The following is a 16,332-nucleotide window of genomic DNA, read 5'->3' on the forward strand; positions in this document are numbered from 1 at the left end:
AAAAATATGGTTCTAGTGAAAAAGCTTATGGCTATGTCTTAAATGGGTTTGGAAGAGTACCTTTTATTTATCTTTTCATTTTGTTTGTTTTTGGAAAATCCTTTCTTAATGGCAGCTAAAGTGTTTCATTTTCATTTGCTGTATTTATTTTCTGAGAAAAATTCAGTTCTGTGAAAAATTCAGGAGCTCCATCACTTTTTCATGATTGTTTTGTTTGGAAAGCCAATTGCTAAGTATCAAAGTTATTTTCTACTTATTCGATAACCATATAGGGTCCAAGTTTTCCATATTGAAAGATTATCTTCTGGCTTGTTGGCCAGAATAGTTGTCTGGTCCTTAAAGCTTCTTATATAATTAATTTTTTCTTTGCTGTCACTGTGACCAGCAGATAATATTCTTCAAATGTTTCAGTTGGCTGCAAGTTACTGAAAGGTCCTAAGTGGCAGAGCAACCTCAGAGGAGGATAGCCCCAGGGGAATTAAGTTGATGCAGGCATTATGTCCTTCCCTCCTTCAATCAATACATATTTTCACATGGGTATCTTTGTACCGTGTGAAATTGCAGTCTATTCTCTACTTTCAAAAGCTGTGACTTTCTCTTGCCGGGCCCAATTGCTCACACCTGTAATCCCAGCACTTTGGGAGGCCAAGGCGGGCAGATCATGAGGTCAGGAGATCGAGATCATCCTGGCTAACACGGTGAAACCCCATCTCTATTAAAAATACAAAAAATTAGCCGAGCGTGGCGGCATGCGCCTGTAGTCCCAGCTACTCGGGAGGCTGAGGCGGGAGAATGGCGTGAACCCGGGAGGCAGAGCTTGCAGTGAGCCGAGATCGCAACACTGCCCTCCAGCCTGTGGGACAGAGCAAGACTCCATCTCAGGTAAAAAAAAAAAAAAAAGAAAAAAAAAAAAAGATGTCTGGAAAGTAATGAGGCAAGAAGGAGGGGTTCAGAAGAATGCAGAAATTAGTGGGAATAAGATAAAGGATGGATAAAGGATGGGGAAGACAGACGGTACAAGAGTAGCAGGTAGTAACATGGGGAAAGGTTCGAATGAACAGTGGAGCTACTTGTAAGCCCTAGTTCCTTCTGAAGCCTTGTGACTGTCTCACTGGGTCAGGCAGAGAAGGTGTTGGACATACTGGAAGGGGTCCTGGCAAGGCCTGGTGTGAGCCACTGGTGCCACAGACACAACCTCTAGCAAAGTATTGCTTTGTTTAAAAACCACCACCACCTCCACAATTACCCTGCCACCATTAAAAATGTTAACATCAGTAGGGAAGGTGTGACTAAGACTGGGCAGCCTGAGCAGGTTGCTTGTTTTCCCCAAAAGAGGGAGGAGGAGGGAAGCTGAAATGGGTTCAAGGAGGAGCACTGCCAAAAATAATCTTTACATCACCCTCCCTGGTCCACTTATGGCACTTCAAAATTCCTTTAGTGTTTCTGAAGGGCTTCTTGGAAACTATTTGTATGAAAAGACAACTAATTGAGTGAGTAAATTAACGGCTTGAATACCTAGAATACCTAAGTTGCTATACACAAGCAGAAAATCTTACAGTGATCTGAGCTAGACTGAATTAAAAAGGCATCTCCTACTTAGCATATAGGACAATGTATAGAACAACTTTGTGACCCAAGTGGAGAGAAGGGGGGTTGGGAAAGAGCACCACTGCTAGCTGTCTTTTTCAGTTGAACCTTTTCCTGCTCTTCAAGAGAAAATCAGTTTAGAATCTAAAGAAAGGAGCAGGGAGGATGAAGGAAACTATACTTACAGAGTGAGGCTTTTTTAAAAAATTAAATTAATGTTAGAACTTAAATTATATGAAACAAAGTAAATAATGAAGGAAAAAGATAATGTTTGCTGAATTATAAAGTATCTTTTGTAGCCAAACAAAATGTAAACAGAAAGAAATGACTAAATTTTAAGTAGAATTTACTGGAGAACACAAAACAATTTTGAAACCAAGTCAGTTATATGTGAGACAGCTCATTCACTATTGGTTCCCTCGTTTTACTTAAGACAAAATGGTTAATGCCTTTTGTTTTTGTTTTGACACTTGTTGAAGTTAGAGAGGATTAATTGCTGCATTATCGCCCAAGCTATTAAGGGAGATGAATGACAAATTTTAGTGGATCAACTATGATTACAAAAGTTAATTTACTTTGTCTTCCTCAGAAGTCTTTCTGCAATGTATTCCATGGTGAGGCTGCTCAGCCTCTCGCATCCATTCTTCAACAAGGTCATAATGGGGAAGAATGAAGTGCAAATCCATTGTTGCATGCTCTTTCCCCATGACCTTAAGTGCTAACATGCATACCCTGTCAAAAAAAAAAAAAGAGGGAGGGAGCCATTTCACCTCCCCTTAGGGGTTCACTTCTCTTTGGGCCTCTTTGACTTATGAATATACATGCCATTTGCAGGACCCAAACCCACTGCTCTTCAATGGCCTTTAAGTGGCTTACATTTCTAAAGTAGACATGTGGGCATATTTTCTTATCCTTTCTCATTTGAACACTGAAGGCTGTGGTTTCTTGACTGTAAAGCAATTTGAAGGCACGGTGTCTAACCTGGCTGTAAAAATCATAGAAACTGCTAGAAGTTCCCTTACCTGTGACTCTTGCCATTTCCCAGAGAGCAGAAGCTAGAAGTCTTCTCAAGTAAAAAAATACACTGCTGACTGCTTATATTATATATAATTTTTAAAATATTTTAAGGGAAATATCGTAGTCCAGCAGCCATTTATTAGAACCTAGAATTTCTAGAATTGTGCTGGGCTGGGGTCAGAGAGATGGATGTGACCTGTTCCTAAATTCTAGATTTCCTGAAATAATTTATTTCATATCCATTTGTATAATATATATTTACTTATTTAGAAAGAAATGACACAGAATTTAAATACAAGGCATAATTTCTTACCTTCCCTCTTTTTCAAGTGTGTAGTGCAGTTGGGTCTCCTGGATCTCCTCCCCACCCTCTCCATTGCTCTGTATCTTGCAACTTAGTAAGTGCTTTATGGTCGAATTAGTTCACTTAAAAGTAGGAAATTTGACTTTGGCTATATTGGGTGCCTGGATAGTTAATTCTGTGAATACACAAGGATCAAAGAGTAACATTCCTCATAATCTCCATCCCTCATCTGCCCTAGCCTTTGCCATCGTGCTTTATAAAGTAGAGGCTGCCTTTGTTGCTTTAACAAACCCTTCTACATTATTCCCAATCTAGTCATCACAATCATCAAAGTGGGATCCGAGGGATTTTAGGGTTTTGGTTTTTGTAATTCTTGTATTGCCTCTCTGATGTGCAATAGCTCAGGAGATATATTTTTAATGTTTTATTGTTCTTCCAGAAAAAGGCGCAAACATGAAAAGTTCACTAAACACCCTTGGTTCACTTACTTTTCTTTCTTAATTTAAAGGGTATATCGGTCTCCTAACTTTCGGTCTTCTCAGAATTTCTATGGCATATGCCAAAGGGCCTATTAAGTACCAGCAGGGAACACTGCAGACAGACCTTTCTGCCTTTATAAGTGTATACAGCTGCGCAGGCTGCTGACCAGCTGCTGGGGCAGCCCTGACTTGTGATCAGATGTGCCACTGACTTGGGGGCAGAAGGCTATTTCTAATAGCACTTATCATTCTTTATTTGGGAAATTTGAGCCCTGATTTCAGACCATGTGATTGATGCAATTCAGTCCATTTTCATCTGTAGCAGGCAGGGTGGTGACAGAGCAGCTCTGGAGACTCAGTAGCAAATATCTTTACCTACAAAGACTTCCAGCTTCTGCTCCCTGGAAACTAGTAAAAGTCTCAGGAAAATAGACCTCTGGCCCAGTTCCTATAGGTTTTACAGCCAGATTAAAAATAATACTCTGTTTGCTTTAGGTTCAATTTTGAAAAACCACAGCTTTCAAAAACTGTTCAAATGAGAAAGTATAATAAAATATGCCTTTTAGAAGTTGGATTGAGGACCCTTAAAGACTTGATAACTTGAGTCCAGCAAAACGGCATATTTTAGATCTTAGAAAATCAAGTAAGAAGGCACAGTATTCTTCTCTAGACCATGTCATGGCTGGCTTTAATGCCCATATTTTAGGGTCTTCCAGAGACACTTCAGTGACACCTCAGTTTTCCCCAGCATCTTCCACAGTAAGAGTTTGATACGACTGCATATGACAACCATTTTTTTTTTTTTTTTTTTTTTTGAGATGGAGTCTCACTGTGTCACGCAGGCTGGAGTGCAGCGGTGCAATCTCGGCTCACTGCAACCTCCACCTCCTGGGTTCAAGCAGTTCTCTGCTTCAGCCTCCTGAGTAGCTGGGATTACAGGTGTGCACCCGGCTAATTTTTGTATTTTTAGTAGAGACGGGGTTTCACCATGTTGGTCAGGCTGGTCTCAAACTCCTGACTTCATGATCTGCCTGCCTTGGCCTCCCAAAGTGCTGGGATTACAGGCGTGAGCCACTGCACCCGGCATGACAACCATTTTTTAAATCCAACAAACTGCAAACAGGCCCTTTGCCAACCTAGAAATTTAGAATAATCCAAGGATCCCAAGGTCAGAGAAATTTTTTAGCCTGGATGATGGGATTTCAGGCTTAGTCACTGGGCCATAAATTGAATGTTAAAGGGATAGGAGGAGATCAGTGATGTTTATTTGTTTGTAAGCATTTTTTTTCTTTCTTAAATACCTATGTTCATTTGAAAAGCGTATTTTAATATATATAATAAAGCAGATGATAAAAAGAAATCAACTGAGAAGAATCACTGACAGGAAAATCAATTACTGACATGCAGTAATTCTGATGTTCTAGAGTAGAGGTAGTATTCTATTGATATGTCCAGGAAGTAAAATATCTCATTTAGATTGAAAAAAAGAGACAAAATTGTGCTAAATTAATCATAGAGCCTTTAATCCACTAGTAATTTGGAGTGAATTTTATTAAGAAGAATTAATTGTAAGTACATGTTAACTTTCGTGTCAGGATAAATTGCATCTTTTAAAGCTAAGTGATCTGTGTACATTGTGATAGGGCCTTTCACTTTGGTTGAAATCTTAGGTTTGAAACTGTGCCTGGTTTACAGTAACTAAAATTAACTCTAGCTGTGTGGTCCTTTATATAGTTGTTGTCATCCCAATCAGATATATCTCATCTGATGTCAACTTCTGAGTCCAATAATCAGACTAGCTCCAGAAGGCACAGGGAAGGTGGTGTGGACCTCTAGGGACTGCCCTCTGCTTTGTGGAAAGGCTTGGTTAATTTTCCATTAGAGATTCAACCAACCACCGACCCAACCTGGAGTTTAATAACACGCTTTTTGTTGATAAGTTTATTCAGTGAACTAGGCTATCTGTTCTAGGGGACTGATTCTTCTTTGAAACAGCCCGGCCTTAAGAATGCAGCTGAAATAGCCATTGGGGAAAACTTGTATAAGACTGTACATTTTAAATTTTGATTTGTCCTCATTTGGAGTGACCTTCTGATTCAGGGTTGCCTACATTTCTTTTACCATTGCCTGTTTTATCTTAACGCCTCCTTCCTGATTTACGTGTAAGCTTGCTATACAACTCTTCAAGTGGCTACTTTATGGAATCAATATTACAGTGGGTTATTGCCAGTCATGAAATGGGAGGAGTACTGTTGACTTACCACTTGGAGTCAAAACCAGGGACTAGATTTAGATACAATGAAAAAATTCCAAATCACTCTCTGAAACAGTATAAATGTCTTAATGTCCTAAAATGTTTGATGACACCTAAAAACCCCGCATGTATTTTCTTCTTAGAACTTAGATAGGCTATGTGTTCTACAAACACCAAGCAAATCCCTTGTATTTTCATTTATAGGTTCTAATATTTTTTTCCTCACTGTTTTAGGAAGTTTGGGGCTCAAGGGTCACGACTTACTGGAGCAGGATGGGGAGGCTGCACAGTATCAATGGTACCTGCGGACAAGCTGCCCAGCTTTCTAGCAAATGTGCACAAAGCTTATTACCAGAGGAGTGATGGAAGCTTAGCACCGGAGAAGCAAAGTTTGTTTGCTACCAAACCTGGAGGTGGGGCTTTGGTTTTGCTTGAGGCCTGAAAAAATGTAAAAAGTCTGAGAGAAACTACTTAGGGCACTTAGGAATTGGCAGGACTTTCTGTGCCACAGTAAATTAATCTTCCTTCTGTTTTGTATTATGATGAACGGTTGCTATTATATCAAGATATATTTTCAAAGAAATGGTTGAAAGCTCTCTATGCTTCATAATGATTCTTTTTCCATCTTAAAATATGGTTTTACTATTAAGAGCCAAGATCATGCTTGGACAGATCTTTTAAGAATAACTTACTGAGATTTATTGATTTGAAGATTTTAAAGATGAATGGTAAAACACACTCTTAATACTGATTACATGGATTGGACTTGAATTAAATATATTGTTACAATTAAACTGATACCACTGAATTGTATGCATTATTCTTGAATAGAGTTCATTTCTGGTTTCTCTTAGTATTCTTCTTCCTCAAAGTTGTAGTTGTCTGTTGATGATGGTGATGATGATGATGATGACGATAGTGATGCCACACATTCTCTCTCAATTTCAGCTTCGGAACGCTATGAAAATAATACATGATTAAAGTTTCACAGATCTTCTTGGACATTGTATAATTGAATTTGAATGTGAGATTTCTCCAGTTATCAAGAGACTAAGGATTTTTTTTTTTTTTTGACAAAAGGAGGATACAGGAAGAAAATTCAGACTCATTTGAATATTTGTAAACCATGTAATATATAAATAACCACTTTCAATTCTTTTGGCCCTGAGCTATCTCCATTACTTAATAGAAAAACTTAGATAAAAAACACTTTAAGACTCTTCTATTCACATTGAAATAAAGAATTATCTAGATGATAATTCAGATAATTCAGTTTGTTCATAGAATTACTTTCTTATCACTCTTTTTCTACTACTTTTTCTCAAATACCTCTCTAATCCAAGAGGCACTTCCAAGAAATTCCACACATTCCTTATATCCCTTTTTTGCTTGTCTAGCAAAGCTTGTTTGTATATATGCACCCCATTGTAAAGCAGGTATGCAGGTATGTGGGTGAAAGTGACTATGAAAAGACTTAATGAATTCTGGGATTTGTAATGGTATTGATGGGTATCTCTGTATGTATATCAAGAGTGGGCAGAAATGTTTGGCTGGTGATGGCAAATGACTGGCTTTCTCTTGTGGATGGACTATAGGAAGCACTTTCTGAATTATGTAATGATTTGGACCAAAAAGTATTTTGCTGAAATACTCAGGTAATTGAGATAGCAATGGTTTTATGGCATGAATTATCCAAAAAAATATCAGAATTACTTATTATTCTGTGATTTCATTAGCTCATTAATGTTTAACTCACAGATTGGGCATCACCATCTAGAATTTCAGTTTAAGGGAGGCCTGCGCAAAGCTAGTTTTATTTCTTAAAGGATAACAGTCATACATAGAATACTAGGAAAGCCAATATTCTATTTAAAAATAAACTTCTGATGCATTTTCATTCTTAGCAGAAAGGTAAATGCTTGAGAAAGCTTGAGTCAAATTTGTTAAAAGAATTTTGAGTTCTATAAATCCAAAAATCTGAAACCTGAATTTATTTAAATTTATAATCCTTTATTTTTTAATACCGTGCCATTTTCCACAAAGGATTTGTGGTTGGTATATAATTCTTTAAAGATACCTGGATCAGTGTAAAAAAAAAAAAAAAAAGGCACCTGTCATTGTTTTGCTGTTCCATTTACAATTTTCACCAGGTGATTTCTTCTTCACAAAAGGTGAGTAAAAATTTCCAATGTGCACTCTTCTTTGGGGGACACACATGGTCATTCTAAGCGAGGGATCTATTCTATATTTGTTTTGATTTCTCTCGATAAAAAGAACTATGTTTCAGTCTTACTATCACTGTGTGGTATCTAGATATTATGAGAGATGCTAAACTTACCTGGAAGGGATAGGGCCGGGGCCATTAGAAAAAAGATCATGCAGTAAATGGACTTTGAGCATGGCCCTAAAAGATGAGTAGAGTTTAAAAGCTGTGGAGTGCACACTGCAGATGAGCAAAGCCTATGGGTATAGGCAAACATGGTGTGTGTAGGAGGCTCAGTGAGAGTGAAGGCTTTGCTTTGGTATGTAGTGAAGAATAAGATTGACTACACTGGCTGGAGCTAGCTTTTGAAGAGTCAAATCCAGGCAGCATTTAGATCAGGGGTTATAGCCCAGCAGCCCATGGGCCACATCTGGTCTGCAGATGTATATAGTTTGGCCCACAGAATGACTAAAAACTTGGGCTCCAAATCAGGAGATTGTACAAGCAGTATCAGATATTCTGGATTACTCAGAATCTGGATTACTGAGTGGTGGAATATCTGATACTACTTGTCCAACATTTCTACAGGGCATCAATGAACTAGGGCTGAGATAGTAGCTGCCTTGTTAGATGAGGCATGGCTATCCAGTGCGCTACAGTTTCCACAACTGCTTGTATAATAGTTTCCCTGACACTCAAATCATTTACCACTTACCAGCTGAGGTCACTTGCCCTTTATCAGGACACTTGCACTGTTGTTTTCCTATTCTAATTAGGTATTTCTCTGTGCCCATGTCCCTATCAATAGTAGGGAAGATAGACCAAAAAAAAAAAAAAAGAGAGAAAGAATGAATATTTTTGTGTGTGGATGTAAAAAATAGTCCTTAGCTGGGAGTGGTGGCATGTGCCTGCTGTCCCAGCTACTCAGGAGGCTGAGGCAGGAGGATCACTTGAGCTGAGGACTTCAAAGCTACAGTGAGCCATGACTGCAGCACTGCACTCCAGCCTGGGAGACAGGTGACAGAGTGAGACCCTGTTTCAACAACAACAACAAAAATGAATAGTCCTGTTTGCTTATTATACTGTCCTGTTTGTATATTATACAACACCCAGGTGTTTCACTCTTTCTATCACTTTTCTGCCCCATGTAGGAATTTGATTTGATCCATTTTTGACATTATACTAGCAGCCAATGGGATTGCTCTAGATTTTTGAATGGAAGCCTTGACATGCTGAAAGTAAAAGGCTCTCCTCTATCCCTGACCTCCAATTGTCCAGCATTCAGACATATTGTACACTAGTCTCTACATGTTCTTGTCTGTTGGGAGAGAAGAAGCCCTTCAGACTTAACAAGAATGCCCATAAGTAAAGAGAAGCAAAAGAGAAGATGACAAGGAAAATCAGAAAGATGGAACAGGCTCCTTTCTTTTCTTTCTTTCTCATACTTGAGTCCTGTTTAGAACCTTATCATATTCTGCCTTGATAATTGAGGGCAGGGACCATTCATCTAACACAGCTGTTGGTACCCAATATGATTTTGTTGAATTATTAATGAAAAACTTACAATTTTAAACATCAGTGATTATTAGTTTGTAATTCTAACTGCATTTGGAGCTTTTCAGTTACATAAACTGTTCCTGGTCAGAAGCTGGAAATGGGGAATGTGAACATGAGTTGTCACTAAATATGTAAAACAGATTTTCTTACATGTGCATGTAGATGATTAAGTAACAAGAATGTATCCTCTCCTGCCACTGTAATTTGGGTGTGCCACCATACATTGCTTATGAAATATTGTCCAGTCTATATAAAAGAAGCTAGAGAGAGAATTCTCAATTATTTTCAGAAAGAAAACCTACCAGTTTATGTAGGAACTTCTCAAAGTCCTGTTTCACTTCATGAGGTTTCTTGGTAGCCTTTGCTTGGAGTCTAATCATGGAATAAAGAAAATCAGTAACCAAACTAATTGTCCTTATATTGACACCATCTAAATAGCCAACATTTATTAAGAATTTAATATGCTGGGCATTCGTCAAGCACTTTACATATATTAATTCAATTACCCTTAAAACTTCTGAAGTAGGTACTCCTATTATCCTATTTTATAAATGAGGAAACAGGCTGAGATAGGTTCAGACACCCACCCCCGCTGCATGTGCACACGTGCCACACACACACACACACACACACACACACACATCCACAACAGTCATACACTTAGCAAGGAGACAGTCTGAACCCAAGCACTGTGACTCAAGCCTTCAGTTCCACCCACTGTGTGGTTCTCATCCCAGCAGTGGCACATCCTCTTCAGTTAGATGGTTTACACAGTATTGCTTTAACTGATTCCACTCATAAGGCTCTAGCCCAGACTTTAAGGAGTGACAGTGGGGAGAGAAGAGTAAAAGAGACTGGCAAGGTAGAGACACAGGAAAGAAAGAGAGGGAGATGGAAAAGGCCAGTGGGTGACAGCGCTTACTAGACTGTAAGCTCATTGTGAGCAGGGATCCAGGAATCTCATGATATCTGTCACCAAGTATTCATTCAAGAAATATTTATGAAGGACTTGAATGGTTGAAATCAGGAAGCAGCAGGAACCTTTCCAGAGATCTAAGAATGAGGGGAGAAGCAATGGTAGCTAGGCAAGGAAGGATAGAAACTTGAGAGAAGGAGAAACATTAGTAAAAGTAACACAGATGAGGAAGAGAAACGGAATAAAGGATATATAAGACTATTAATTTCACTGGCAATTTTCAAGTGAAATATTTAAAAACTATTTTTCCATGAAATTGGCAGGAAGTAAAATTTTCTGCAAATCCCAAATACATGTTGCTGAAGCAGCAAGTTTAGATGAGCTATTTAACCCCTTGCCAGGCCTAGCCAAGGTTTCTTCAGCAGTTAGACTAGTGCACCCCTGAAGGCAGAGTGGGATTACTTAGTCGGAGGTTCTCTTGCATTTGTGCTCTGTGACTGGTACATGCCCCCTCACTCATTCTCTCTCTGCTTGTTTTGTCTTCTCAAGCTGAGTTTCCTCCTTGCTGATTGCTCTTTAGGCTTCACATTTTTCCTTCCATGCCAGTCTCAAATCTGGCTCTTAGTTTCTCAGTAACACCTTCTTAGAATCTCCTTGAACTGCACAGTATCCTTAGAATCTGTCTCATCTCACTAAGTTAAAATCACTCCCTCTTCCAAGTCACTCTTTTAGTTTACAATCTCCCCTCTTTAAAAAAAATTAAGTTTTATTGAGATATGTTACATACCATAAAATTGACCCATTAAAGTGTACAGTTCAGTGGTTTTAGTACATTCATGAAGTTTTATAACATTACTAATCCTCCCTCTTTCTGATTGCCTTTCCTCTCATGAGTATCTCTTTTGAAGATTACAAATGGAAGCTCATACATTGTGCCTATAACTTTAACAAGCACGTGAGATTTATATATCCAAATATGTATGTTTCAACAATGTGCCATTGCATTAATCATATTTGAATACTTCTTGTGAGTTACTCTGAGAATTGTCCTACATTCTTCTGCATATTCTCAGTGGTGAAAATTCTTGTCCTATGTGGATTTGATTTTTGGAAACTTGTAAGAGTCACCCGGAATGGAACCTTGTAACAGGTGTTGTGAAGCAGAAAGCTGGGTGATAAAGTTTTTGGTGAAAAGTGAGATAAGATCCTAAAGTAGTGGGTTGAAATTTTCTGATGTGACTGGAAAACTAGCTTTATAAGTTCTAAAATAGTATTTAGAAGTGTGAAGTGTGACTGGCACAAAGTTATAGTCTCCCTAGGGGGCTTGTCTGAAGGGCTGAACTTGTCTGATACTTCTTATTCTGCACGTGCTTACGGGTGTGTTGGAAGAAGTAGGTTAATCTCAATACTTTATAGTTGTTCTTCCTATAGTTTAATTTATAAAATAAATGAGCCCAATTTTTCTTGCTTCATTGAGGAAAAATGTTTATATGCATAGAGGAAGAAGGGAAATAAAAAACTAGCCCAATAGAGACCAGCTAAATCTGTTGTTTTTCTAGTTTACAACTTCCATAGGATGGGGAAGGCTTATAGGTTTATTTTGAAAAGGACTTGAGCTTAAGTCCTATGGCTGGAGAGTAAAAATAGATGATGATAATGTTTAGCAATTAATTAGCAGAGTAGATGATTTTGTGATTAAAGAAAGTTAAAATGTTACTCCAGATTAACTGTTAACTAGAAAACTTTTGCAGTTTTGTGGTTTTATGTAACATCTCTTCAATTAAAGATGATCTTAAGCACTACCAAGCTGAATAAGAGACAAACCTATCAAGCTCCTTGTCAATTCTTTCCTGCTGCTGTTTTAGAAGTTTTATTTCTTCATTAATTCTGAGCTTTTCCCTATAAAGTTAAAGTTTGAAGTTAAATTTTAAAATAATGCAGGCATTACTAATTGGGAAAGAATAAATCAACAATTTACTGATATACACGTGTTAGTAAAAGCCCTCTACAAACCAATTCATTCCCTCCCTATGCACTATTTAGTGTAAAGAACCCCTCAGCACATTCCCTGTTACAAACATATGCCAAAGGTATCACCCACAACACCTGAGTACAGCTGGACTCCACCTTCTGCTACCACAGGGGCCCTCTAGAAAGGTGTCCATCCGTTTTTCCCACTAAGCACAGGAAGTCTAAGGGATATGTGTGTGTGGACGTACACATGCGTCTGTGGGTGGGTGGGCAGGAGACGGGAATGGGGACCCTTGGAAAGCAGGGGCGCAGGCTTTTAGATCTGCCCGCTGGATAGGACATAACTGGTGGTCCTCCATTTACTTCTCTTGGAGGTGCTCCTTGGACAGCAGGAGGCACCCAAAAGGGAGGATCATCCTTTCTCCCCTTAAAGGCAATGACATCTCAAGGCAGTAACCTTGACAGCATGGATAGAAGAACTGGACCCTGCCCATTTGTTCTTGTAAAAATTGATGGATATTCTCTCATTAACCCATTCCTAGCTTCCTAGCACATAAGATTACCATGACTGACCACAAGCAATTATTTTATAAATTATTATGAATAACTGCAAATGTTCCCCCAAGAAAACATTTCAGGAAGGACTTTGCTGTCTTGATTTCCTTGCTTGACACCAGCCCAGCTGCCACCCCAGCTCCAGGGAATTCCTTCCACTGCAGGGAATTTTTCTGCTAGTCTTCCAGGGCTTATCTTTGTAAATGGACGATACTCCAGTCTCCATTCCCTGGAGCTCTTGCCTCTTCCTGTTGGGGTGCACCCCTCCAGTCACACCAAGCAAAGCTTCCTTCCTTTCTTCTGTCCCTCTCACTTGCCATGGCTCCATGGTTACAACATACACCCTTGACACTTACCTGAAAAGAATCTCTGAGTCTATAAGATGCTCAGACATGACTCTCCTCATCATTAAGGAACTTAGTTTAGATGATTTCTCTGATTGTTTCCAGTTCTAAAAAAGTATTATTTTATATTTAACAATAGTATAGCATCAACTTACATCCTAAAATCCTTTTGGTTCCTTGCAAATTGTCTTTTTGCCTCCTTTATAACATCACGGTATGTTGGAGCAGGTAGTGTGCTAGGCTTATTATTAAGGAATGATTTTCAATTAGGAACATTTGGGAAGTAAACAGTACCCTTCACAGAGGAACCAAGGGGACCGTGTGACCTTCACTTTTCAGTAATGAAGAGTCTCAAGTATAAACATGAATATTATGTCTGGAGTTACACTCAGAGGACTGAAAGAAGAAAACATCACTTTAAACTTGTGTCCCATTATCTCAACCACAGCAACCATAGGGCACTATGATTTAATAGTTTCATAAATCCTGTAATTACCTTTTGTATGTGTTTGTTTTAAAAGCAGCAACTTGTTAAAGGTAAATATTAAAAATTACCAAAATATTAAAAATGTACCAAAATTCATTTTTTTCTTATTTATTCATTTTCGAGACAGGGTCTTGCTTTGTCACCCAGGCTGGAGTGTGGTAACATGATCATAGTTCACTGTGACCTCAAACTCCTGGGCTCAAAGGAATCCTCCTGCCTCAGCTTCCTGAGTAGTAGACAGTTTCTCGCTATCTTGCCCAGACTGGTCTTGAACTTCAAACTCCTGGGCTCTAGCAATCCTCCTGCCTTGGCCTCCCAAAGTATTGGGATTACAGGTGTGAGCCACCACACCCAGCTTTCATTTTTACATATACTGAGAACCTTAAAGACTCTTTAATTCTAAGAGGCTTTGGGGGCAACTGGCAGCATGCGTGGCTGCCTCAGTTAGCCTGGCTTCTGCCATCTTCCCAGAAGAAAGGTGGTAATCAGAATGTCCAAGTATGTTGCTAATGAAGCTGGATTCCTCTGTCCTGTCTGTTTCTGGTGCAGTCTGTGGATATGTCCTAACCTTGGCCTTAACCCATGCCTGATCTGGCAAAACAGACACTTCCCTTTGAAGTGGCAATTGGCCAGTATTGGCCAATATTAGCAAGGAGACAGCTCCTCAGCTTGTGTTAAATGAAGACCTTAGCCTCAGTGTTACACTAGGAGCTCTTAAACCTCTGCCATCACTAAGATATAGGGGATGAACTGTCCTCTTACAGCCCCACTCCCATTGTGAAACAAACTTCAGTATTACCTTTCTCTGAATATAGTTTGCCCATTTTTAGAAAACTTTATTTTCCATTTCAAGGCTGTTCCTGATGCTCATTTTATTTATTTTTCACTAAGTATTTTATTCAATTTATTTAAATAATTTATTTATTTTTCCCTTGGTAAGTACTTTCTAAAAAATAATTTCAACTTTTATTTTAGATCCAGGGGTTACATGGGCAGGTTTGATACATGGGTATATTTCACGATATTGAGGTTTGGGGTCTGAATGATCCTGTCATCCAGGTAGTGAGCACAGAACATGATAGATAGTTTTTCAACACTTGCTCCCCTCCCTTCCCTTCTCTTACAGTATGCAGTGTCTATTGTTGACACGTTTATGTCCATGAGTACCCAATATTTAGCTCCCACTTACAGTTAGAACATGTGGTATTTGGTGTTATTTACTTAGGATAATGGCCTCCATCTGCATTCATGTTGCTGCAAAGGACATGAGTTTGTCCTTTATTTATGACTATGTAGAATTCCATGGTGTATATGTACCACATTTTCTTTATCCAGTCTGCTGTTGATGGGGATCTACGTTGATTCCATGTCTTTGCTATTGTGAATAGTGCTGCAATGAACATATGAGTACATATGTCTTTTTGGTGGAATAATTTATTTTTCTTTTGAGTATATACCCAGTAATGGGACTGCTGGGTTGAACGGTAGTTCTGTTTTAAGTTCTTTGAGAAATCTCAACTACTTTTGACAGTGGCTGAACTAATTTACGTTCCCACCAACAATGTATAAGCTTTCCTTTTCTCTGCAGCCCCATCAGCATCTATTGTTTTTTGACTTTTTAATAATAGTCATCCTGACTGGAGTGAGATGATATCTCATTGTGGTTTTCGTTTGCATTTCTCTGCTGACGAGTGATGCTAAGCATTTTTGCATATGTTTGTTGGACACTTGCAATGTCTGTTCATATCATTTACCCACTTTTTTTTTTTTTTTTTTTTTTTTTTTAGTATTATACTTTAAGTTCTGGGATACATGTGCAGAACATGCAGGTTTGTTACATAGGTATACATGTGCCATGGTGGTTTGCTGCACTCATCAACCTGTCATCTACATTAGGTATTTCTCCTAATGCTATCCCTCCCACAGCCCCACCCCCTCAACAGGCCCCCTGATGTTCCTGTCCCTGAATCCATGTGTTCTCATTGTTCAATTCCCACTTATGAGTGAGAACATGCAATGTTTGGTTTTCTGTTCTTGTGTTAGTTTGCTGAGAATGATGGTTTCCAGCTTCATCCATGTCCCTGCAATGTTTTTTATGGCTGCATAGTATTCCATGGTGTGTATGTGCCACATTTTCTTTATCCAGTCTATCACTGATGGACATTTGGGTTGGTTCCAAGTCTTCGCTATTGTGAACACTGCCGCAATAAACATACGTGTGCATGTGTCTTTATAGTAGAATGATTTATAATCCTTTGTGTATATACCCAGTAATGGGATTGCTGGGTCAAATGGTATTTCTCATTCTAGAGCCTTGAGGAATTGCCACATTGTCTTCCATTGTTGTGTCTTTTAATTGGGGGCATTTAGCCCATTTACATTTAAGGTTAATATTGTTATGTGTGAACTGGATCCTGCCATTATGATGCTATCTGGTTGTTTTGCCCGTTAATTATGTAGTTTCTTTATAGCATTGATGGTCTTTACAATTTGGTATGTTTTTGCAGTGCCTGGTACCGGTTGTTCCTTTCCATGTTTAGTGCTTCTTTCAGCTCTTGGAGGGCAGGCCTGGTGGTGACAAAATCTCTCAGCATTTCCTTGTCTGTAAAGATTTTATTTCTCCTTCACTTATGAAGCTTAGTTTGGCTGGATATGAAA

At 38.8% G+C, this 16,332-nt stretch overlaps 2 protein-coding genes across 36 annotated transcripts in view; one reads left to right on the plus strand and one right to left on the minus strand.

The window, feature by feature from the left end:
- GALK2 (galactokinase 2) overlaps positions 1–16,332 on the plus strand; it is a 211,967-nt gene that overhangs the window by 166,303 nt on the left and 29,332 nt on the right. For 6 of the 17 annotated variants that reach the window (XM_047432347.1, XM_024449892.2, XM_024449894.2 and 3 more), the window contains one exon: positions 5,876–6,054. In XM_047432347.1, the coding sequence (XP_047288303.1) occupies positions 5,876–6,054 (179 nt within the window). Of the gene's footprint in view, positions 1–5,875; positions 9,807–16,332 lie in introns of those variants that run through there. The other 11 variants (NM_001352048.2, XM_047432349.1, NM_001352047.1 and 8 more) reach the window with 3 other exon arrangements.
- Positions 4,894–16,332, minus strand: part of FAM227B (family with sequence similarity 227 member B) — a 293,849-nt gene continuing 282,410 nt past the window's right edge. For 16 of the 19 annotated variants that reach the window (XM_047432224.1, XM_047432222.1, XM_047432221.1 and 13 more), the window contains 4 exons: positions 13,343–13,420; positions 12,142–12,216; positions 9,704–9,773; positions 4,894–6,599 (listed from right to left, as the gene is read on the minus strand). In XM_047432224.1, the coding sequence (XP_047288180.1) occupies positions 6,492–6,599; positions 9,704–9,773; positions 12,142–12,216; positions 13,343–13,420 (331 nt within the window). In that variant the 3' untranslated portion in view covers positions 4,894–6,491. Of the gene's footprint in view, positions 6,600–9,703; positions 9,774–12,141; positions 12,217–13,342; positions 13,421–16,332 lie in introns of those variants that run through there. The other 3 variants (NM_152647.3, XM_047432225.1, XM_017021995.2) reach the window with 3 other exon arrangements.

The sequence above is a fragment of the Homo sapiens genome, chromosome 15 (assembly GCF_000001405.40).
Source record: "Homo sapiens chromosome 15, GRCh38.p14 Primary Assembly".
NCBI classification, from domain to species: Eukaryota; Metazoa; Chordata; class Mammalia; order Primates; family Hominidae; genus Homo; species Homo sapiens.